Here is a 24,015-nt window from a genome sequence, read left to right as displayed (position 1 = left end):
GGATAACCCTTGCCTTCAAGCAGTTGCAACCTGGAGGAGAGGTGTACTGTACACAGAAAAAACTAACATTACAAAAAGGCAGAATTAAAGAAATGCTGAATATTGGTAACAAGCAACAGGGGAAACAAGGCAGTCTGAGCACACAGAACTCAAGTCCTCCTAATGGGATCCCAGAATGCCCATGGAGGAAGCAGCATGTGCACTGTGCTGAGTGCTGAGCAGGATTTCAAGAGAGCAAAGGCAGAGATGCTGGACAGGGCAGCACAGGAGGACGAGTGTGCATGGTCACTCTGAGCAGGGCTGGTTCCTGGGCTGGTTGGAGCACAGCATGGGGAACTGAAAGGCAGACACTGGCCAAGAAATTCCTTGTGCAGGGCTTCAGAAGTGAGCCTCACAAGCCATCCTAGGCCACACTGCCATCAAGCCCCAGACCTCTACATGCCCATTTGGTTTCTTTCCAGCTCATATAGCTTCCTAAGTATTGTGGCTAACAGTTCCCTGACTTGAATTCCTAGTTTCTGTTAACAGTTTTCTAACTTTCAGGAAAAACAAGCCAATTTCTAAGGAAAGTGGCTGTGCTTCAGTCAGGAGTAGTCCAAGGTAGACATCCAGGACAGTATGACGCAAAGGGTTTGGAGCGCAACAACCCCTTGCGTTATATAGCCATTTAATGTAACCTGTTTGTGTGAGTTCATACCTGGCTTTGAGCCACTATTGTCTGTGAGTAATATAACTGCACTGCTGACTCTGTAGGAGAGAGAATAAAGCCATGTCCCAACTGCCTACAGTCCCTCGAGTGTTCTTTCAGCTACCTGCCACCCATCCACCAACTCCCCTCAGATCCCAGCTTGGGTTGGAACCTGACACAATTAAAAACAGTATTTACAGCAACATACTTCGTATTCCTCTGCGAACCCACAGTTGGAGTCAGCTTGCTGCTTCTTGAAGTAGGCCTCAAAATTCTCCACTCTGATTAACTTAGATCTAAGAAAACAAAACTTATCAGGATTTTTTACATTCAGTGAAGTCCATATTCAATAGAAAAGTACAAGTTATTAAAAAAAATAAAGAGATTACTCACTTTTTAGGTCTTCATGATAGAAAGGGAAAGAAAAAATATGCAATTAGAAAGACTCATTCATACTCTAGAAATGACAGTAAACAATCTTCCCAAAACAACAAAACCCAGGGTATAATTTGGCAAGAGGGGGTCAGAGTACTATTATTCACAAAACACTAAAATATGATTCAGGAAATCTGATTTCTAGACCCTACTTTGTAACTAATTGGTTTTGTGACTTTAAGTAAGTTCTTCTCTCCCCTGGATCTTGATAACCTATTTGACGTTTTTTTAATCAAGAAATCCGTATTTATTGGTAGAAGAGTAGAACATGACAAGGAAGCCAGCTTCAGGAGACTAATAAAACATAGATTCCTTGCAGAAAACAGAGCTAGCAAAAACTTCCAGATGGTCATGGTCAAAATGTGCCAATCAGGAAAAATGACAGCAAGTTCCATCAAAAATTATTTATAGATAGTCACCGAACAGATTGGAGGATTTAAAATAAAGCTCATAATTTGAGAGACTTACTTAATTTGAGAAAAGGACACTTCATTATTCTTTGCATCTTTCCTGTTTTAAGAGAAAAGAGACCCATTAGACAAAAAAGGATTCCTTCCTGTGCTTTTCCCTTGTGTATCTGGAGTTGATGTCATCTATGAAATAAAGGTGTTACACCTTTTCCTCAGGCATTAGTTCACAGCTGACACCAAATCCTGCCCCCTAATACTAAACTTAATGACCCAAGCTGCAAATGCTAATTACAAATTTGTGAAGTTATTTTCTTTTGTACTATCTAAAAGAATGAAAAAAATCATATCCAAGTCACTTTTAAGAACTTCCTTGCAAATATATAGCAGTGGCATTACTTTAATGTAAAGCAAGACTTGTTATTTCATACTTTGTTTTTGAGAAAGCTTTTCTGATAAATGAATGCAATAAACCAAAAAACATATCAGATCCGGAACTGGCAAGTTGGTGAGGCATCTGCACACTCCTGCACTGTTGACTCAACTCTGCATTGGTATTTAAGAAAAACTTTCTGGAAGGTAATTTGGCAGTATGTATCAAAACTGAAAGCACGCATACCCACTGACCCAGCACTTGCCTAGCTTGGAATTTAGCCTAAGGAAATAATCGTGAATGTGCCCAAAGATTTAGGCACAAGGATAAGTAACTGTGGCCAAGAAAAAAAACTTGGAAACACCTAGGAAATTGGTTAACTAGATCATGGTACTGTCATACAGTTGAATACTCTGTAGCCACTTAAAATGATGATGAAATGAGCCAGGCACGGTGGCTGATGCCTGTAATCCCAGCACTTTAAGAGGCCGAGGCGGGTGGATCACCTGAGGTCAGGAGTTTAAGACCAGCCAACATGGCAAAACTCCATCTCTACTAAAAATACAAAAAAAATAGCCAGGCATGGTGGCGGGCACCTGTAATCCCAGCTACTTGGGAGGCTGAGACAGGAGAATCGCTTGAACCCAGGAGGCAGAGGTTGCAGTGAGCCAAGACCACGCCATTGCACTCCAGCCTGGACAACAAGAACGAAACTCTGTCTCAAAAAAAAAAAAAATTGTGATGAAATGAAGCTGCCAACAATGTCTAAGCTGAATAAAGCAGGCTTGATTCTAACATGTAACATGATTCCATGTGTGTGCACACATTTGTGTGTGAGTTTGGTCACATCAAAATGTTAAGAGTAGTTTTGTGTGGGTTCTGCGATTGCAGATTTCCTATTTATTTTTGCTCTTCTTTTCTATATTTTTTGCCATAAGCATGTATTACTCTTATTTTTAACAAGAAACAATAAAACTGTTTTATCCAGCCACTGACTGATCCATTTCCCCCCCCAAAATCAGAACCTAATCTGGCCAGGCACAGGGGCTCACGCCTGTGATCCCAACACTTCAGGAGGCTGAGGCGGGCAGATCCCTTGAGGTCAGGAGTTCGAGACCAGCCTGGCCAACATGGTGAAACTCCGTCTCTACTAAAAATACAAAAATTAGCTGGGTGTGGTGGCGGTGCCTGTAATCCCAGCTACTCAAGAGGCTGAGGCAGCAGAATCACTTGAACCAGGAGGCAGAGGTTGCAGTGAGCTGAGATCATGCCACTGTACTCCAGCCTGGGGGACAGAGCCAGACTCCATCTCAAAAAAAAAAAAACAGAACCTAACCTAAAAGCTGGAGCATGAGCTCTGCCTGTCACTCCAACAGGGCAGGGTGGCAGCACAAGGAACCGGCCTGGGCCGCATGAGGACCCCTAAGGCAGGATGGAGATTCCCTGGTTGGCAGCACCTTACAGCAAAGAAATCCCAACTAACACACACAGGCTTCACACACTACACAGACAAGAGGGCGTGCCATGAAGTGCAAGGACCAGGTTCAAGTTCTATTTCCACACTTCCTGACTCAGCTTCTGCATCCTTGGAAGGGACTTACTGGACCTGCCTCGCAGAGCCTCATGCATGCGATAATTCACAGAAAGCACAGATGCAGGCACACGGTGAGCACTCAAAACAGGGCTGCTACTTTTACCATTTAATGACCTCACAGGGTAGTTGTACAGATAAAATAATAGTAATAGCATACAAGGCACAAGACACTGAGAAGTGCCTTATTTATTCAATCCTCCTCAGCTTCACAAGTTAGGCACAATGATTATCCTCCTATCATAGATGAGGACATTAAGGCTAAGCTTCCTAAACAGCTGGTCAAAGACAGAGCTGGTGTTCAAACTTAGCTACCTCTGAAATGAAATCTCTTAACATCATAATACTATGAAACTGACTTGTAAACAAGAACATATCATTTGAAAGTAGCATCCCACACTGTGGCGTCTATCAGTGGCCTGATGTGACAGCTGGGAGCACATTAACATCGCCCAGCTGGGGGCGCAGAGGAAATAGGACTGGCCAAATGCAGAACACTATGGGTGAAGGGAACATGGCGCTCATCATATCATTCCTTCTGAATCTGTCAAAGTTTGAAATGTTCCTTAATAGAAAGCTTCCTTAAATACCAGAGTATTATTATTAGCATAAGCAATATCACCTCTTCTTTCTCCAGAAGATGAAGCCTCCCACAGTCACAATAACCAGGGCACCAAAGATACAGCCAAAAACCGCTCCACAGATGACACCTGAGAAAAGTCCAAATGGGAGACACTTCAAGAGGTGTTCATGCAGACCACACAATGTGCTAAAAACTGGCCTGGGACCCTAACACCAGAGAGTTAAAGTGTGTATACCATACACACACATGCATGCACACACACACACAGGCGCACACACACACAAGGGAGTTAAATAGCTTTGGACCTAAAACTAGTCTATGCATGCAGAAGCCAGGTTCCTGTTCCCAATCCACTACTACCTGGATGGTCTTGAGAAAGTTACTGTTCCTCTCCAGGTCTGTCTCCTCAACTGCAAATTTAGGGAACTGGGCTGGATTTTCAGATATTTTTCCTGCCACCTCTGACATTTTGAGACTAGCACCCACATATGAGCAGAGGTACCTACAGCAGCATCCATGCTCAGGTGACAGGAAACCCATTTGTTTACCGGGGAAGGATGTGGGGACTCCCTAAACTTTGCTTCTGGGGCAGGCATTCTTTCCTGCGCCCAACAACCACCAACTAGGAAAGAAAAGCAGACAAACTAACAAACCAGCCAGTCCATTAGCCTCTGGCTTGAAGGTAGGGGATGCACCCCTCTTGGATCCCTGAAGCTCCTGTATCACCTAGGTCTATGTGATAAAGGGTAGAAGCACTTAACAAGGGTCCAAGACCAGAATTTCAGGCCTGCCTCTAAAGCCATCGTGTAACCCTGGGCAAGTTACTTCCCCTCTCTAGGCCTTAAAAGTCTCACTTCCAAAAAGCAGGCAGAGCACAGTGGCTCACACCTGTAACCCCAGAGCTTTGGAAGAAGGTGGAAGGAGGCTTGAGGCCAGGAGTTCAGGACCAGCCTGGGCAACATAGCAAGACCCCATCTCTACAAAAAATTAGCCAGGCATGGTGGTAAGCAACTGTGGTCCCACCTGGGAGGCTGAGGCAGGAGGATCCCTTGAGCCCAGGAATTCAAAGTTACAGTGAGCTATGATCATGCCACTGTACTCCTGGGCAACAGAGCAACACTCCGTCTCAAAAATAAAATAAATAGGCTGGACATGGTGGCTCACGCCTATAATCCCAGCACTTTGGGAAGCCGAGGTGGGCAGATCACCTGAGGTCAGGAGTTCGAGACCAGCCTGGCCAACAGAGCAAAACCCCGTCGCCACTAAAAATACAAAAATTAGCTGGGCATGGTAGCAGGCACCTGTAATCCCAGCTACTCAGGAGGCTGAGGCAGAAGAATTGCTTGAACCCAGAAGGCAGAGGTTGCAGTGAGCAGATATCGTGCCACTGCACTCCAGCCTGGGTGACAGAGCAAGACTCTGTCTGAAAAAAAAAAAAAAAAAACATAAAATAAAATAAACAAATCAATAAACATAATTAAAATTATGAAGAAAAATAAACAGAGGATTGAACAAGACAATTTATGTGGCTTCCTCTGATTCTACTATTTAAGGATTCAATGCAATGTGTCAAACTGTGCACCTGGCATATGGGCCCACAAGTGACCACACATAGATAAGGGGAGTCAATAATCTTTGCAGATTGGAAGAACAACTGGCACTTAGAGAAGGGAGAGTGTGGGGTCCAGGCTGTGGGACCTCGGAGGAGGAAGCCCAGTAAGCCCGGTGACCCAGTGACATCTCAACCTCTGGGAGGGGAGAGCTGGGCACACCAACCCTCCTGAAGGTCTGAGGGAGGCATGTACACAGCTGGCCTTCTATGGACACGTGGAGCAAAATGCCACTGAACCAGTGCCAGGACTGTTGTCTTCTCCCTACCTGGATCCTGGGGCAAGGAAACAGCATCTGAGTAGCGACTGAAGGACACATAGCTCTCAGCCCCATCAATGAGCCCCTTGTTTTGAGGGTGGAAGGTAATGTTGGTGAAGCCAGCCACACAAGCCCTGTGGGATAACAAAGAGCAAAAAGAGGTCCCTGAGACGTGTCTGACCGCAGGCATGTAGAGCTTTATGCTCATGAGGCTCAGCCCCCAAAGAGTAAGAACCAGAAGACATTACCGGTAGGAGCCCAGAGGTTCCAGCTTCCCATTGTAATAACCAAGTGTGGTTGACTCATTCCCAACGTCAATTTCATATTTCAAAACTTCAGACAAGCTCTGAGAACGTCCCTTTTCTTCTGTTCTTATGAGGTATGTCACATAAGTATCTGAGGCTCCCTTTTTGAAATCCTCATACGTGTATTTCAGGACATCTGCAGAAGGGTGACCAGCTAAGAAAGGTACACAGAAGGAGAATCATAAGAAAGTGATGGCAGAGAGATTTCTTCTCCTGCATATCTACATGGTGGTGATGTTGGGTGATAGTGATCAGCAACCATCTCTCAAGTATCTCTCTGTGCCAGGTTTGACTTACATTGAATTCTAAGGGTTTCACCTACAGTAACTCACTTCATCCCCATGAATCCCATCACATAAGCTTATTGTCTCCATTTTACAGACAAGAAAACGAAGGTACAAAAGGCTAACAGGACCAGGCACAAGGTCACACTGCCTATGAGGTAGAGTTGGGTTCCCAATCCAGGGCATCGGGCTCAGAGCCCAAGGTTTCATCTAATCACAGGCCAGCACTGGTCAGTCTGGCTGCTATGCAACATGGCCTTCCTCAATGGGACTTGCTGACAAGCATCACAGCAAAATGACTAAGAGCTGGAAACAGACCCAAAATTAAAAGATAGAGATTTCAACCTCACTTTTTGAAATTTTGCCACAGGTTATGGCACCAGCAAATTTCTATCCTCCCAGATCCCTAACCCCGACAGTGTGTTTGGTCTCTATCCTCCTCAAGGACATGAGGACAGCACCACAGTAGGAGAGAGTGGGCAGAGGAAACACTGCATTATTCATGCATAAAGAATCTCCCAGACCAGGCACAGAGGCTCATGCCTGTAGTCTAGTCCCAGCACTTTGGAAGGCCAAGGTGGGAGGATTACTTGAGTCCAGGAGTTCAAGACCAGCCTGGGCAACATGGTGAGATCTTGTCTCTAAAAGAAAGAAAGAGGGAAGGGGAAGGGAAGGAGAAGGGGAGAAGGGGAGAAGGGGAGGAGGAGGAGAGGGGAGGGGGAGGAGAAGGGGAGGAGGAGGAGAGGGGAGGGGGAGGAGGGGAGGGGGAGGAGGGAACCCCCACAACAAAACTTGGGCTTTTAAATCTAGGCCTTATGCAAGCACTCAAACACAGCTACCGAAGAGACTCTCGAATGATTCCTTTCCTACCACAAAAGAATGTAACAGAGCCCTTTAAGGAAAAGCAGCTTTTAATCCACCTCTTCTCTCAGCTAAGGAGATACTCTGCAAATTCCCACTAGCAAATGCAAATCTTTTTCTATTTTCTTTCAAAGGAAAGTCATCCTCTGAGGATGGCATGTGTGTACGTGTGTAGAGTGAGAGAGAGAGACAGAGTTGGTTAAAACTAATATTCTACCACCTAAAAGGCCCAGTGAGGTAAAAGAGAAGAAAAACCTAGATCACAGATCAGCAAGTTATGGGCCACAAACCAAATCCACCTGCCATGGTAAATAACATCTAGTGGGAATGGTCCCACTCATTCCTTCTGTATCTTCTGTGACTGCTTGCACACTACAATGGCAGAGTCGAATGCTTGCAACAGACTCTATACCACCTGCAAAGCTTAAAATATTGGCAATCTGGCCCTTTCCAGAAAGTTTGTCAACCATCAGGCAAATACCTCACCCTCCTTCTCTGTCTGAGTACACAGCATAGGCTGCAGTGAGAAGACAGGCGTGTGTCTGCATTACTCACATGCCTCAGTGGGCACAGAGAAAGCTCTGGTCACTGCATCACTCATGGGCTGTTTAACCCACGGAGGCCTCTCCTTACCTTCCCCGGTGGTGAGAATGACAGCATAGGCTTTGATGGGTCCGTGGCTGGCTTCAAATCCACTGAACTTGACCTTTACTGAATTGTGACTGACAGATGTAATATTAGGGGATCCATCTGGAGGAGGGGGATCTAAAACAAAACAAAACAAAACATGATCACCCAATATTGAAAACCAAAGCAACACATTAGGTAGAGAACATGCTTCAGCAACCTCCTCAAGATCTTACTCTGGAAGCTACATGCTGGGCTCGTGCAAAACAGCAAATCCAGAAGCAAAAGGCAGGGAAGGAAACTGGTGAGGAGCAGAGACAGCAGATCCTGGGAAACCCACCTAGCTCACAATGACCCCTTCAGGGCATCCAGCCAAATCCCCAGGGCAGGCACCCAGCAGCCTTGTTTGGTTTTGCTATTGTTGTTTTGAACAGTACATGCTTTTATTTTATTTTTTAACAGATTGATTGAAATATAATTAGAATACAATCAAGGAGATGAAAGACTTGTAGAGTGAAAACCACAAAACATCGATAAAATAAAGAAGATACAAATACACAAATACATGCAAAGACATCCCATGCTCATGGATTGGAAGACTTCACATTGTTGGAAGACTTGACACTACTCAAAGCGATCTATAAATTCAATGCTCCATCAAAATCCCAATGGCAATTTTTACAGAATATAAAAAAAAAATCCTAAAGTTCACATGGAACAATCAAAGACCAGGAATAGCCAAAGTAGCGTTGAGAAAGAATAAAGCTGGAGGCCTCACACTTCCTGATTTCAAGATATATTTATTCAAAGCTACAGTAATTAAAACAGTATATTAAAGGCATAAAGACAGACATCAACCCATAGAACAGAATACTGAGCCCAGAATTAAACTCTCACATATACAGTCAACTTATCTTCAACAAGGATGTCAAGAAGACACAATGGGGAAAAGACAGCCTCTTCAACAAATGGTGCTGGGAAAACTGTGTATCCGTGAGCATAATAAAACTGGACCTCTATCTTACACCAGACACAAAAATAAACTCTGAATAGATTCAAGCCTTAAACATTAGACCTAAAGCTGTACACTGTAAAATTTGTTTAAAAAAAAAAAAAAACACATTGGGGAAGAGCTTCTTGACATAGTATTTACAATGGTTGCTTGGATACCACACAAAAAGCACAGCAACAAAAGCAAAAATTGACAAGCAAGATTAAATCAAACTGAAAAGGTTTTGCACAGTAAAAGAAACCATCATTAGAGTAAGAAGCTAGTATCCTTGCATGAGGAAGCTAACCTGCCCTTGTCCTCTCCCCCAGTCCCATATGACTCAAGATGAGCCGGGTTCATTATCCTGAGATCTGGGGTGGAAGAAGGAGAGTGAGAAAGAGACTGTGGTGGAACTCTAAGGTGTGGCCTTGGGAGCTGCACAATGACACCACATGGACTTGGCTTGGCCCCAGGATCAGCTGGTCAGCTGAGAGCAAAGACGGAGCAAATGTCCAAGGAGAAGAATCACAGATGAGGTGGGAGAGAACACACTTTCTGCTGAGACCTGGGCACAGCACTTCTCTGTGTTCTTCATAAACAGTCCCCACATTTTTCCCAGAGTTGGTCTCAAATACCACCTAGAGAAACCCAACAGATCCTCTTCCCAGAAACCAGAAAAGCCCCCACAGGACCCTCCATGGATGGCCTCCATGATTGTGCACACCCCCCCTTTCCAAGCCAGGGTATGGAGCCACTCTCTGAACTAACACAAAAGAAAGAACACACTGAATTAAAGATGATCCACTCCACACACTCTCTCTCTCTACCTAAATTCATCTCACACATACAGTTTGGGTTATTCCCATTTTTTTTATATATTTTTAAAAAATAAATGAGATGGGATCTCGCTATGTTGCCCAGGCTGGTTTCAAACTCCTGGCTCAAGCAATCCTCCCACCTCAGCCTCCCAAAGTGCTGGGATTACAGGCATAAGCCACCACGCCCAGCCTGTTCTCATTATTATATATATTCAAGATTCAAGGAGACAGAAATCTGAACTCCAAAACAACCACAACATAATTGTCTAAACCTGTGCTGATACAGCAGCCCTCTAGCCACATGCGGCTGCCAAGCCCCTGAGAGGTGACCAGTTTGCATTCAGATGTGCTACAAGCACACAATACAGACTAGATATCAAAGACTTAGTACAAAAGAAGACATAAAATAACTCATTAATACTTCACAGAAATTACATGTTGAAATAATACTTTTAATATACTAAGTTAAGTAAAATGCTATTAATACCAATTTCGGCTATTCCTTTTCACTTTTTTTTCAGTGTGGCTTCTAGAAAACTTTAAATTATACCTGAGGCTCACATTGCACATCTAGTGGGATGGTCCTGCTCTAAACTACAAGCTTCAGCAACCTCGCAAGTATGCGGCAGCAGTGCCCGCTGGGAGGTGGCGTTCCCATGTTAATGGTCAACTGCTAGCACAGGCTCCTGCATTTCCCACCAGCTCTATACCCTGTAGCTGGCCAGAGAAGGTCCATCCCCAGGTCCTTGCTGCAAAATTGGCAGCAGCATGCTAGCTCACCCACCACCAGACCTGGAAATCCTCTCCCTCTCAATGCTCTTCTCAGTCCTATGCTCCAGGGGCCCTGTCGCCCCTACTCACCATAGTATCCCTCACCATAGCACACAGTAAGCCACCAACAGATGTGGGCTAAAAGACGACCAGGCGCAGTGGCTCACGTGGGTAATCCCAACACTTTAGGAGGCCAAGGCGGGTGGATCACTTGAGGTCAGGAGTTCAAGACCAGCCTGGCCAACATGGTGAAACCCCATCTCTAAATACAAAAATTAGCCAGGCGTGGTGACATGTGTCTGTAGTCCCAGCTACTCAGGAGGCTGAGGCACCAAAATCACTTGAACCCAGGAAGCAGAGGTTGCAGTGAGCTGAGATTGCGTCACTGCATTCCAGCCTGGGTGACAAGAGCAAGACTCCATCTCAAAAAAATATAAAAGAAAACATGGCAATGAGGCAATGAGTTATGCTGTAAAGAAAAGGAATCTTTTAGAATGTAAAAAATGAGCCCCTCTTACTCTGCTTTTTTAGATTGATTTCTATAGAATGAGAAACCAGTCTATGTCAGTAAAAGCAAATATTTTAGGGGAAATAAAAAAACAAAAACAGATTTCTAGTCCACACGTGCAGACCCACTGTGGGTCAGCCGCTCCAGGAGTGATCACAGTGCCAACTGACCAGCCCCTGCCTTGTAGCCCACCTGTGATGCCAGTAGTGCAGGTGTTCCGGGTGGGGGCTGCCATCTTTCCACAGGACACAGTGGTGATGCTGATGTTGTACGAGGTAGAAAAATTCAAATACGTGACTTCCGTTCTATACTCAGTGCCATTCTCAGAGGAGCAGCTCTCCAGGTGGGTCGCATTGTTCCAGGCTCCACTGCTGACCTCCAGCTCAAAGCCTGCATTGGCGCCAGGAGGGCAGGTCCATTTGAGAACCAGGGCTGGCTCTTTGGGGACCACTTCGCAGTCGAAGGAGGCCATGGACGCAGGATCTGCAAAGCAAGTACAGCACAGCATGAGATTCCGGGACTTTTGCCTTTGCAAACATGGAAATAGGGAGTAGCAGAATCCTGGGGATGAGAAGGTGGGTGGGTGATGTGGTGGAAGAGGCAGGGGCTGACCCTAAATTGGGCAACACCAAACTGTGTGAGCTTGGGTCAGTCACCCAACTGCTCTGAGCCTCAGCTGCAGGACTCTTTGAAGAGTAAATTGAACAATGATGTCAGGCACCAAGAAAGACGCCTGGAAGAGACCAGGGCTCCATGAGAGTCAGCTGTATCATCCTGTGAGAAGTAGCAACCTCCTCACTTGCACCATCTCATCATGAGGACCCCCTTTTTTTTTTGAGACGGAGTCTCGCTCTGTCGACCAGGCTGGAGTGCAATGGCGCAATCTCAGCTCACCGCAACGTCCACCTCCCGGGTTCAAACAATTCTCCTGTGTCAGCCTCCCAAGTCGCTGGGACTACAGGCATGCACCACCATACCCAGTTGATTTTTGTATTTTTAGTAGACATGGGGTTTCACCATGTTAGCCAGGATGGTCTCGATCTTTTGACCTCCTGATCCACCCACCTTGGCCTCCCAAAGTGCTGGGATTATAGGTGTGAGCCACCAGCCCAGCCAAGGCCCTCTTGATGATACTTCTGAGACAGGTGAGGCCTATACTGTCCCATCTGCAGATAAATCCACAGAGGCTCAGAGAGGTTAAGTAATTGGCTGATGATGACATGGCAGGTGGTGAAGCCAAAACTAGATCCCAGGTTTTCTAAGTCTAAGTTCAAGACACTCTCTACTCACATAACATACTGCATCATCCATTGATGATGCATCAGTTTCCTCATCTTCAAAATAGAGTGTTATTTGTCTCTATCTGAGGGCCATTAGATTTTTACTGAGGACTAACATCAAACTGATGTAAATAGAAAACTCCATATTACAACTGGAGGACAGTATTATCATTAATTGAATGTCACAGAATTTTAGAGCAGGAGAAGCTCTACCAAGGCACCTAGTGCAACACCCACATTTGCCACCCAGGGCCTGGAAAGGTAACCTGAACACTGCACCCACTTTTACAGCTCCTGTTCCACCCACACCCAGTCATAAATGCTCAGATACAGTTTTTCTCTTGCTATAGGCTACAAATAACTATAGCTAAGATAAATATCAGCAATGAAAGGCACCCAAATATCAAAGATGGGTGTCTAGACCAGGTGGGATGGAGCAGAAGTGACCCAAAGCTGCAGGGATTTCTGTGGCCACCCCACTCACCACTGAAAAGCCAGAGGCCATCAAGGCTGGAGCTCCTATACTACCAGGGAGGCTGATCCCATGAGACCATCACTTCCAAATCAGCCTGAACATATCTGAATGGCCTGGGCTAAAAAGGGAAGAGGTAGGAGCGAGAAGGGCAGAAAATGAGTAGTGCACGGGTGCTGAGTGATAAAGGTGCCACAGTCAGCACTGTGAGCAGAAGTGCCCACCACTGTCTGCAAAGCCTTTCCTGGGCTGCCCTGAAAGCATCCTCAATTACACAGAGGGCTCTTCTCTTTATCACACATTTTCAGTTGTGAGATAGGTGAGGATCAAGAAGGATGCAAAGGCTGGGCATCATTTCAATAAACTTTTCATCTTCTCCAGCACAAAAGACAAACCAATGCCAGATATCATCCACATCCTGGCTCAGCCCCACTCAGGCCTCACCTCCCACCTATATCCTCCTGTTCCTGCGGGTCCACTCCTCCCACCCTTGCCTCCTGCTCTTCCTCCAGCCTCCAGATACAGTGGTGATGCTGCACAGGCCCCTCTGCACAGGCCTCTGCCTGTAATGTTCTCATGCCCTGATATCCACATGGCTGGCTCCTTCCCTTCATTCAGATCTTTGCTCAAAAGTCACCTTGTCATTGAGGCCTTTCCTGAGCACTCTAGGTAAACATCCCACTTCCTCCTTCGAAAAGTTCCAAGAAGGCAAGGACTTGACTGGCATATGGTATATGCTCAATAAATATTTATTGAATGCAGAAATGATGAGGGCATCGAGACAGCACCGATAAGCTAACAGGATGCCTCGGAAAGCTCAATGTCCATCACTGCACATCACACAAAACCAGACAAACTACAGACTTGGGAGGACTGACCTGCAAGGTCAGCACCACTCAGGGAGGAGTCCAAGAGGCAGTTGGGGCTACACTCACCTGTACAGAATGACTTCCGGCCAGGTTCCAGTGACTTGATCCCATCCCCTACTTGTGCAAAGATCTCCACTGTGTATGATGAGCCAGGTATTAATTCAGTGACTGTAGCGTCAGTAATTCCAATGTCCGTGACTACTTGTGTTGCGTTGCTGGAATTTCCAGCCTTCTCAATAAGAAGGCAGTAGGAGTACGTGGGAGAGGCGTCATCAAAGTTCTGCCAACTTAAAGTTGCTGCTGTGGTGTTGGTACTTACATCAATGTTGGACACATTGCTGGGCCCTTGATTTTAAAAAAAAGGCAATTCATGTAAAAGCACAGATTAAGTAGAATTCCAGGACTATTTACTATATCCAAAAATAGCCTGGCTCGTTTTAGAAAGAATGAATAAAACTAGTATTTGCTGGCTCAAAAGATGGAAAACTTCCCAAAAACACATCAAGAAAATAATTATACAGATTAAGTCTCAAAAGAAGTTTAATTTAGGCTTCTTTTAATACTTCAAGTTTATTTCAAATATATTTTTAACATTTAATTTCTAATCTGTTTTTTAAATCTAATAGATGGAGAAAAATATACTAAAAACATATTACAAACTAACATCTTTACCATGTATTTAATTCAAATATTCGCAAAACACCTCCCTAACTGTTGCAGGCGAAGCTCCTCATCTGGGCAGTATCTTCCAATACCAACATGACAAGGTGACCCTTCTCTACTCTGTATTCTCAAGGAATGACTAGAACCATTTCAGTCACCATTCCCAAGGAATCATTTCTTCCTTCTAATGACAATTCTAAGTTCACATAGCTTGAAGAACAGTGCCCCATGGTGACAGCAGAACCATTGCTGAGACCAATGTTTTCAACTTCAGCAGTTTCAGAGTCAACCTGGATCCCAGAAGCACACTGGCCATCATTTAACCAGTGCCTCCTCCAAGAGACAGTTAGAGAGGCTGTTCCTTAGAAGGGCATCCTAAGAGACTTACGTGTGTACTGTGCAGTGGAGTTGGGGTCCCCCCAGACGTGGTCCACTTCTGGAGAGATGGTGATGTTATATAAGGTGCCCGGAATCAGGCCCTGGAGAGTAATCGCTTTGTCATACGTGCTTGTGTGGTTAGAGCCATGCTTGGACTCTATGACTAAATGGTAGACATACTCGGAAGCACCGTCAGGGCTCTTCCAGTCCAGCCACATCTCCGTGGTGGTGACGTAGACCACGTGGATGTCAAACACTGCACTGGGAACTGCTCAGAAGAAAGGAAGGAGAAGGGAAAACTGTTACTATCATGACGCCCAGCTTCCTCTCCAAGTGCTGTCGAGAGGACCTGCTCTTTTGCCATTACGCTTTCTAATGAGTTCACAAAAGGCACACTCCAAAATCGAGCTGAGAAATGCACACACTCAGTGCTCTCAAGAATTTCAGCTCTTCTGTGACGCACATGAACTTCCCAGTTTATCTTACCAGTTCTCCAGTTTTTTGTTGTTGTCTTAAAAATGAGCCCTTAGGCTGGGTGCAATGGCTCATGCCTGTAATCCCAACATTTTGGGAAGCCGAGATGGATCACTTGAGGTCAGAGGTTCGAGACTAGCCTGGCCAACATGGTGAAAACCCATCTCTACTAAAAATACAAAAATTAGTTGGGTGTGGTGGTACACGCCTGTAATCCCAGCTACTCGGGAGGCTGGGGCACAAGAGTCGCTTGAACCCAGAAGGCAGAGGTTGCAGTGAGCCGATATCACACCACTGCACTCCAGCCTGGGCGACAGAATGAGGCTCTGTCTCAAAAAAAAAAAAAAAAAAAAAAAGGCCAGGCGCGGTGGATCACGCCTGTAATCCCAGCACTTTGGGCAGCCAAGGCAGGCGGATCACCTGAAGTCGGGAGTTTGAGACCAGCCTGACCAGCATGGAGAAACCCCGTCTCTATCAAAAAAAGTACAAAATTAGCCGGGCGTGGTGGTGCATGCCTGTAGTCCCAGCTACTTGGGAGGCTGAGGCAGGAGAATCACTTGAACCCGGAAGGCAGAGGTTGCAGTGAGCCAAGATCGCGCCATCGCACTCCAGCCTGGGCAACAAGAGCGAAACTCCATCTCAAAAAAAAAAAAAAAAAAAAAGCCCTTCAAGGGGTCATCTGAAGTGGAAATCACATTCAGTTTTTTTATATGGGTGCTGGTAACAAGATGTGTTCAGTTTGTAAAAGTTCATGAAGCTATGTGCTGAGGATACATCCCTTTTCGGTATGTATATTATATCTCAATAAAGAGGTTTTTTTGTTTTGTTGTGTTTTTTAAATCAGTCACTCAGAAGGAAACATCTTCCCGTGACACAGCCTTACATACCAAAGAGGAAAACTGAAATGGAGAGCTGACCTTTACTAAGTTGCAGCATTTGAGGACGGATGAGGAAGGGAAGAAAACAGGCACACCCTGCACCTTCAGAGCAGAGTCAGAAATGGAATCTCCCACAGGAGCCCATCCTCCGATCATCTCCCGCTGCCCACTCAGCCACCTGCACCAGGGATGCCTACATAGAGGCCCGGAAGTAACCGCGGAGGCTGGGCCTATTTTCTACCGCGGCTTTCAACCCTGTCTCTCTTTACCTGGCAACAAACGTCACCTCCAGGGAGAGGAAATGGGCAGGTAGGGGACAAAAAAGGGAAATGCTTTCACTGCAAACACCTTGTCCAAAAAACAAAAAAAATTGTGCCATGTTTACGTACTATCTACTCCAAAATTAATTTTTTTTTTAATTTTAAGTGGATTCTCCTTACAGAGAAGCCACTGGGAGGAGCCTTTGTTTCCTACCAGCAGATTCCTGATGTCAAAGGGATTCCACAGACAAAAGCCCATGAAAGGCAGCCTTTGTCTATAAACATAAAAACCTAGAAACAACCTAAATATTCAATAACATGGGGAGGGCTGTGGGCACTGTGATCTGGCTGCATGATGAAATACTCTTTAGCCACTAAAAATATGAAGGCCATGCTAACTATAGGGGAAAGTTGTGGTATAGACTGAGTAAAAAGAAATTCAAATACAAAATAAAAGTATTTGTATAATAATTACAGTATACAAGCAAAATGTATGACTGTGGACACAGAGAGAAAAGGAATTCAGTTGGGTTAGAAAAATAGAGATATTTGTTCCTTTTCATTTTTATTGTGGTAAAACATACATACCATAATATTTATCATCTTAACCATTTGTCAGTGTACAATTCGGTATCATCAATATTCACAATGTTGTGTAACTATCACCACTACCTGTACCCAAAACACTGTCATTATCCCCAGCATAAACTGTAGCCATTAAACAATAATGCCCACTCCCTCCTCTGAACAGCCCCTGGTAACCTCTATTCTAATTTCTGTAGAATATTAAGTTGCCTAATCTAGGTACTCATGTAAGTGGAATCATCCAGTATTTGTCCTTCTGTGTCTGGCTTCACTTAGCATAATGTCCTCAAGATCCATCCATGTTGTACCATAAATCAGAATTTCTTTCTTTCTTATGGCTGAATAGTATTTTGTTGTATGGATGAACCACATTTTATCTATCCATTCATTTGTTGATGGGATCTTGGGTCCACCTTTGGCTACTGTGAACAATGCTACTACTATGAACACTGATGTACAAATAACTGTCCAGGGGCCTGTTTTCAATTCTTTTGGAGATATACATAGGACTGGAATTACTGGATCATATGGTATTCGTTTCCTTTTTTTGAAATTGCTTTTAATGCTGTTAAGCTGACTTTTTCCAATAACAATAAAGGTTATTTGATAATAGAAAGGTAACCCCCCTAAGAGTTTAGATCTTATAGCAAGCCTTCTTGACTTTCATTCAATGGGACCATTGAATGAAACGGGTCCTTTGAGACAATGCAATTCCAGGCAGGTGTTAAAATTACCCTGTAGAAATACTGATATTAAGAGGAAAGAATATTCACAATAAACTATAGTAAAAGAGATGCCCTCTCCTCACTAATACTAAACTTTACTGCTGTACCACATCAAAGTGTCAATCTACATGGTGGTTAAGCACTTGGTCTTAGACAGCAGACACAGGTCAGTTTGCCACCTTGTCACTCTGGGCCAGTTACTTAAGTTTGCAGAGCCCCCATTTCTTACTCTGTAAGACAGAAATGATAATAATACCTGCTCCATGAAGTTGTGTTAAAAATGTAAAATGCAGTATGAGAGCACTCAGCACTTCGCAGACCCCCAGCATATTATATTATTGTTACAGTAAGTTCTGGGCAATAGCAAGTAGCACAACATCATGCATCTCCCTCAGTGGTGATCCTCTTACCATTATCCACATCCTTAAAAGACAGAAGAAACATGTTGACGTTAAGACGTCATGTCAACAGTCTGAAATGCAGATTTGCAAAGGGAATACTGCATTTCATCTGAGGGATGCATTTTAGTAGATCCCTTATTTCAGAAGCAGATCCTCTGAGTGACTATCGGTGCTTAACCCAACCAGCACAGTTGAAGAAGCTTCTTCAAGGAGAATCTCAAAAGCGTAACTCATTTCATGTGTGTTTCAAGGAATCTGTCCCATTTCTTTTATATATATATATATGTTTTTATTATACTTTAAGTTCTAGGGTACATGTGCACAACGTGCAGGTTTGTTACATATGTATACATGTGCCATGTTGGTGTGCTGCACCCATTAACTCATCATTTACATTAGGTATATCTTTATTCTACCCTCTGTATAAAAGATTTCAACTATCTTGAATCTTAGATCAAGGAAGACTGTATGTTTTTCAACCTTTCCAAAAAACAATTATTTCAAAATTTTAAAACAACAATAATGAACATTACTCTCTAGGATTTCCCAGAAGTTTCTCCTGTAGGCCTAGAAATAATTTAATAATTTAAACTGTTTCTATAAAAAAAAATTTTTTTTTGAGACAGGGTCTCCCAGGCTGGTGCTAGTCTGCAACTGTTGGGCCAAGCAATCCTCCTGCCGCAGCCTCTCAAGTAGCTGGGACGATGGGTGCAGGCCACCGTAGCTGACTATAAAATGATTTTATCAATTTCAATTAGCCTTCTAGAACTAACAAAGTATCTCATCACAGTGTTGTTTAGGAAAGACTGTGAACAGTCCACCTGCCCAACACAGCACAGTAGTTAATTTCTAACACATCTTGACCAGAGGTTCTTAAACTTTTTGCTCTCAGGACTTCTTTACCATCTTAAAAGTTATTAAGGCTCTCAGAGAATTTGTATTTACATAGGTTATATTTATTAATATTTACTATATCAGGGATTTAAAATGAAGAAATTTTTAAAATGTAAGAATCCACAGCATATATTCCATTAGACCTGAGAGACAATGTCATCCCATATCGGATCAAAGTTGGAAAACTCCAAAAGAGAATGAGAATGAAAAAGCCAAATAACATTTTAGTATTGTTATGATAATACTACCTTGGAGACCCCTTGAAAGAACCTAGGGATCCCTAGAGAGCCCTGGACCACAATTTGAAAACCACTGATCTAGCCCAGAGGTCAGCAAACATTCTCTGTAATGGCCAGAAAATAAATATCTCAGGCTTCACAAGCCACACGTTCTCTGCTGCCACTACTCAATTCTAGCACCAAAGTAGCCATAGACAGTACATAAGCAAATGAACATGGCTGTGATCCAATAAAACTTTATTTACAAAAACAGACAATGAGCCAAATTTGGCATAGGGGCCATTCTTATCTGCCAACTCTGTTTCAGATGATGGAATTCCAGGCAGGTGTTCAAATCATCCTGTAGAAATATTTTATTAAGAGGAAAGAATATTCATAATTAATTGGCAAGTTGGGGAAAAGGCAGATTACAAAACCACATGTACAGATGGCCTCAATGTTTGTGAAAGAAATAAATATATATTTGTGGGCTGGGTGCAGTGGCGCACACCTGTAATCCAAGCACTTTGGGAGGCTGAGGTGGGCAGATCATTTGAGATCAGGAGATCAAGACCAGCCTGGCCAATATGGCGAAACCCTGTCTCTACTAAAACTATAAAAATTAGCCAGGCATGGTGGTGCACACCTGTAATTCCAATTACTCAGGAGGCTGAGGCACAAGAATCGCTTCACTTGAACCCAGGAGATGGAGGTTGCAGTGAGCCAAGATCATGCCACTGCACTCCAGCCTGGGTGACAGGGTAAGACTGTCTCAAAAAAAAAAAAAAAAAAAAAAAAAAATATATATATATATATATATGTGTGTGTGTGTGTGTGTGTATTAAATATTAAATATATATGTATTAAATATATGTATACTCACACATATATTTGTGTATCTATATGTATATGTTTAAAAATTGTAAAATGTCATACATCAAAAGTGATTATCTCTGCTTGATGGTTTCCATGTAAGTTTTTTCTACTTACTTGTCTGTATTTCATATAATAAATAAGCATTAGTGTTATGAAAATTTTTAAAGTTTTTTCTTAGATAATTAAAAGAAAAACAATATTTGGAAACATTATGTTTATTAATTATACTGATTTCCTTTAAGAAACATGATGGTTTAACAGAAAAGCCTATTTGCTTACCAGTTCTATTGCAAACTGTCCGAGATGCCCCTTCAGTCCCATTTGGTCCTTTTGGAACTATTTCAAAGCAATACTTGGTTCCAGGGAACAAGCCACCAATGATAATACTTTGGTTGGTGGTTATTTCTACCCGAGAATTGCCAGCTCCCTCCTGTGTGATATGCATCTGAAATGATTCTGCATCATGGCTGCTCCATGCTAAGCCGATCTCCGTCGTGCTGACCACTGTCACTCGGAAGTCAGAAACTGGAACAGGGGCTATGCAAAGAAAGTAAACAACTAGATTAAAAATATACTTCTCCAGGAGACAGGGATGCCCCACCTCAGAAAATACTGAGATGAAATGTACACTTAGGACACCTGATCCCTCTCTCTGTCTTCTTTGTATCATCACCTACAACATGAGCCCCTCAGAAACTGCTGTTTCTGGCCATGGAGAGAGCACTTGATCATGAGAGTGCAGAAGCTCTGTGCTTACATTGCACACAATCATTCACAGGAAATGAGAGGAGGCGTGAGCTCCTGTGGTCAAGGGCTCAGGCTCTGGAGGAGAACCTTGGCCACACTGGCTGCTTTATCTCGAATGCATTACTAGCCTCCCAGAGCCTCTGTTCAGGGAGGGACAGCAGAGAGAGACCAGTCTTGACCCCCAAAATCCATTCCCCCATTTTCCCTTCATCATACCCACCCAGATTTTTAGCCCTGTGTGTGCATACCTGTTGGAAACAAAGACCACATTTCCCAGCTCCCATGGAGCTAGATGTTGCAATGTGACTAAGTTTTGCTCAACGAAGCATGAGCAGAGGTACTGGGTGACTTCTAGGAAGTGTCCTTTAAGGGTGGGGCACAACCTTCTGCCCTTCCTCCTTCTTATACCTGTAGTGTGGATGCAATGACTGGAGCTCACGCTGCCTGGCTCTAGAACCAAAACCTCAGCGGTGGCTGCAGCTTCCTGATCCCAGGATCACAGCTCAGAACATAGACCCCTGGATCCCGCAACTACAGCAGAGACTTCCTGATTCCTCCCTCTGCTGTCTGTGACCAAGGTGGTGACTCTCCAGGGGGTCAGTTCTGCAGACTTAGTCCAGGAGTCATTTCTTGGGGCGAGGCCTAAAGCCTGCTCCTCAACTGTTATGAGCTGACTTGTGCTCCCTCACCCCCAAATGTGTATGTTTATGTCCTAACCCCCAAGACCTCAGAATGTGGCTGTCTTTGGAGACAGGGTCTTCAAAGAGGTAATTAAGTTAATGTGAGGTCATGAAGGTAGGCCCTAATCCAGCAAGACTGGTGTCCTTATAAAGGGAGATGAGGGCATAGGCACACGCAGACTAAGGACAACCATGTGAGGGAGAAGACAGTCATCTATAAGCCAAGAGGGAGGCCTCAGAAGAAACCACACCTGCCGTTGCCTTAATCTTTGACCTTCAGCCTCCAGAACTATGAGAAAGTCTATTTCTGTTCAAGCCACACAGCCTTTGGTACTTGTTCTGGTAGCCCTAGCAAACTAATACACCAGCTCTTCCAATGATTCTGCAAAACCTCAATTCCCAGGATAAATCCCTTTTGGTTAAAATAGCTCACAGTTTCTGTTTCATACAACTGAGCCTTGGATAACCTCTATCATCCCCATCCTGCCTAGCACTGGGCTTCTGTTACAGGAGAGAGAAATAAACCCCTGTCTTGTTTAAGCCACGGATACTTGGGTTTTGTTGTTGTTGTTTTTGGTGGTGTTATTCGTGGCTGAACCTAATCCTAACTAATAAATAGTAAAAGAGTAAAAGGTAAAGAAATGCAAGCATATTTCATTTTCCCAAAGATCCAGTCCAAAATACATCTATAAGAATGCTAAGGTGTGCTTCCTGCGAAGGAATGGACATTCTTGTGGGATAAGCCTGGGTCCAGAGCCACACACCCCTGAGTTCAAGTCCTGCTCTGCTACTCACTAGCTCTGTGGCTTTGGGCAAACTGTTCAGCCATCAGGGTGTCATTTCCTCATCTGTAAAAGGGGACCCCAATACCTACCTCGGAGGCCACTACAGTGTCTATAAATCTCATGGCACAGTGCAAAATGCAGTGCTGGTGTCACTACTATTGTTTAATAGTATATAATCAATATTATACCACTGTACTACTAGTGCACCATTACTGTTTTATTTTACATTATCGGACCTTCTTTGAAACCTAAAGCTTTTTATTTGCTGCATAAAATCTTATTTTTAAGGGACATTTAAACAAACAAAGATGAGATACAGCTGTGCCAGTGATTCGTTATAATGTCAGCACCCAAGACACAAGGGGATATGAATACCAGGTCATTTTTGTCTCCCTGTATCAATTCACTCTAGGTCTCCTCCACACTGGAAAGAGAGTTACAAGCGCAGGCTCCAGGTGAGAAATACCAGAGGCTTAATCTCACCTCTGCCACTTTCCAGCTGTGATACCTGTCTAGCACCTCTCTCAGCCTTGGCTTCCTATCTATAAAATAAGGCTACTTCCAACCACATCACAGGGCTGTTGTGAGCATACAATGTGCCAGTGCAAGGAAAGCATGTCACACGAAGCTTGGCGTGTGGTCAGCCAACAGTCACCATTACTACATCATGCATCCTGTGTCTGGGCCTGGCACGGAGCAGGACAGCAGGAAAGGGTGGTGAGAGCCAGGCATGAACTCACGGGTGTGCACTTGGAGGAAGCCCGGCGTGCCCTCGATGTCACCTAGGACAGGACACACTGTGATGTTGTAGAAGGTGCTGGAGCGGAGTCCGGGGATGACAGCGCGAGGCTCACTGACGTTGAGATTGGAAGAATCTGTCTCCCCCGCCACATGTATCTTGTAGGTATAGTTAGATGACGACTCGTTATCGCTGACTTTCCAGATCAGGGTCAGGCTTGTGGCACTGATGTTCACAGCGGTGACGTCAAAAACCTGAATAGCATCTGTGAGAACACAAGAGGAGTTCAAAATAACCAGAACGGCCAAGGCAGAGGGAGGGAGAGGTCATCAGGGCATGCTGTCAAGCCCAGCAAACTCTCCTGGGGGAGTGTTCCTTCCTCCTCTGCACCATCAACCGTGGCTAGGAAAGCATGACGGTCCCAGCCAAAGTCAGGCATCATTGGGCGGTGAAGAAACAACCTGGCCAATGGCACCTGCAGGGTTATTCTTTGTTCCTTTTTGTAAGTTGACTTTAGAGATTTGACCTAAATGATGACTTGGACTCTATGCATGTCTTACCCTAGGGCCAGGGGCACCCAGAAAAGTTGTCAAACACACATGATGCAAGAGCGAACACTGCGATCTATGTGATCGCCCGAGATCACAGAAGTCAGGACGAGGCAGGCCTGGGTTCCAGGGCTCACTCTGCTATGACACCCAGGTGGGCCACAGGAAAACCACTTGAGCTCAGCTTCCTCACCTATAAAACTGGAGAGCAATCCTAACCTCAAGAAAAGATAACCCGAGTGCCAGTTATTCACCACCTGCCCACTCCACCCTCCCGACATATCCACTGCCCTTCCCTCACCTGCTCTGGGCCCAGGAGGCTGACCTTGTGCAAGGCATCATGGGGGGTCTTGCCACATGGGCTGTGACCGGGTTCCACTATGAGCCAATGGGCAGGCCCCTGAAGGGCCACAGGAGAAAGGAGTCAGTGCC

General features: G+C 44.4%; 1 protein-coding gene across 4 annotated transcripts in view, besides 1 other annotated feature; it reads right to left on the bottom strand.

The window, feature by feature from the left end:
• The window catches only part of PTPRJ (protein tyrosine phosphatase receptor type J), a 190,281-nt gene that overhangs the window by 19,760 nt on the left and 146,506 nt on the right, over nt 1–24,015 (bottom strand). For 2 of the 4 annotated variants that reach the window (NM_002843.4, XM_017018085.2), the window contains exons 7-18: nt 23,037–23,300; nt 20,364–20,621; nt 14,784–15,041; nt 13,799–14,077; nt 11,304–11,594; nt 8,030–8,161; nt 6,195–6,405; nt 5,956–6,080; nt 4,117–4,204; nt 1,592–1,633; nt 1,082–1,090; nt 897–984 (exon numbers count right to left, since the gene is read on the bottom strand). In NM_002843.4, coding sequence (NP_002834.3) covers nt 897–984; nt 1,082–1,090; nt 1,592–1,633; nt 4,117–4,204; nt 5,956–6,080; nt 6,195–6,405; nt 8,030–8,161; nt 11,304–11,594; nt 13,799–14,077; nt 14,784–15,041; nt 20,364–20,621; nt 23,037–23,300 — 2,045 coding nt within the window. Of the gene's footprint in view, nt 1–896; nt 985–1,081; nt 1,091–1,591; nt 1,634–4,116; nt 4,205–5,955; nt 6,081–6,194; nt 6,406–8,029; nt 8,162–11,303; nt 11,595–13,798; nt 14,078–14,783; nt 15,042–18,359; nt 19,570–20,363; nt 20,622–23,036; nt 23,301–24,015 lie in introns of those variants that run through there. The other 2 variants (XM_047427374.1, NM_001098503.2) reach the window with 2 other exon arrangements.
• Nucleotides 23,045–23,405: a silencer, noted in NCBI's record as "fragment chr11:48149227-48149587 (GRCh37/hg19 assembly coordinates)". NCBI's record gives its function as "represses an EF-1alpha promoter that drives an FKBP-Casp9 reporter gene in an ReSE screen in K562 erythroleukemia cells {active_cell/tissue: K562}" and the evidence as "EXISTENCE:reporter gene assay evidence [ECO:0000049][PMID:32094911]".

Source organism: Homo sapiens, chromosome 11 (assembly GCF_000001405.40).
Source record: "Homo sapiens chromosome 11, GRCh38.p14 Primary Assembly".
NCBI classification, from domain to species: domain Eukaryota; kingdom Metazoa; phylum Chordata; class Mammalia; order Primates; family Hominidae; genus Homo; species Homo sapiens.
Note: the sequence above shows the minus strand (reverse complement) of the source record. Positions and strands in the feature narration are given on the sequence as shown.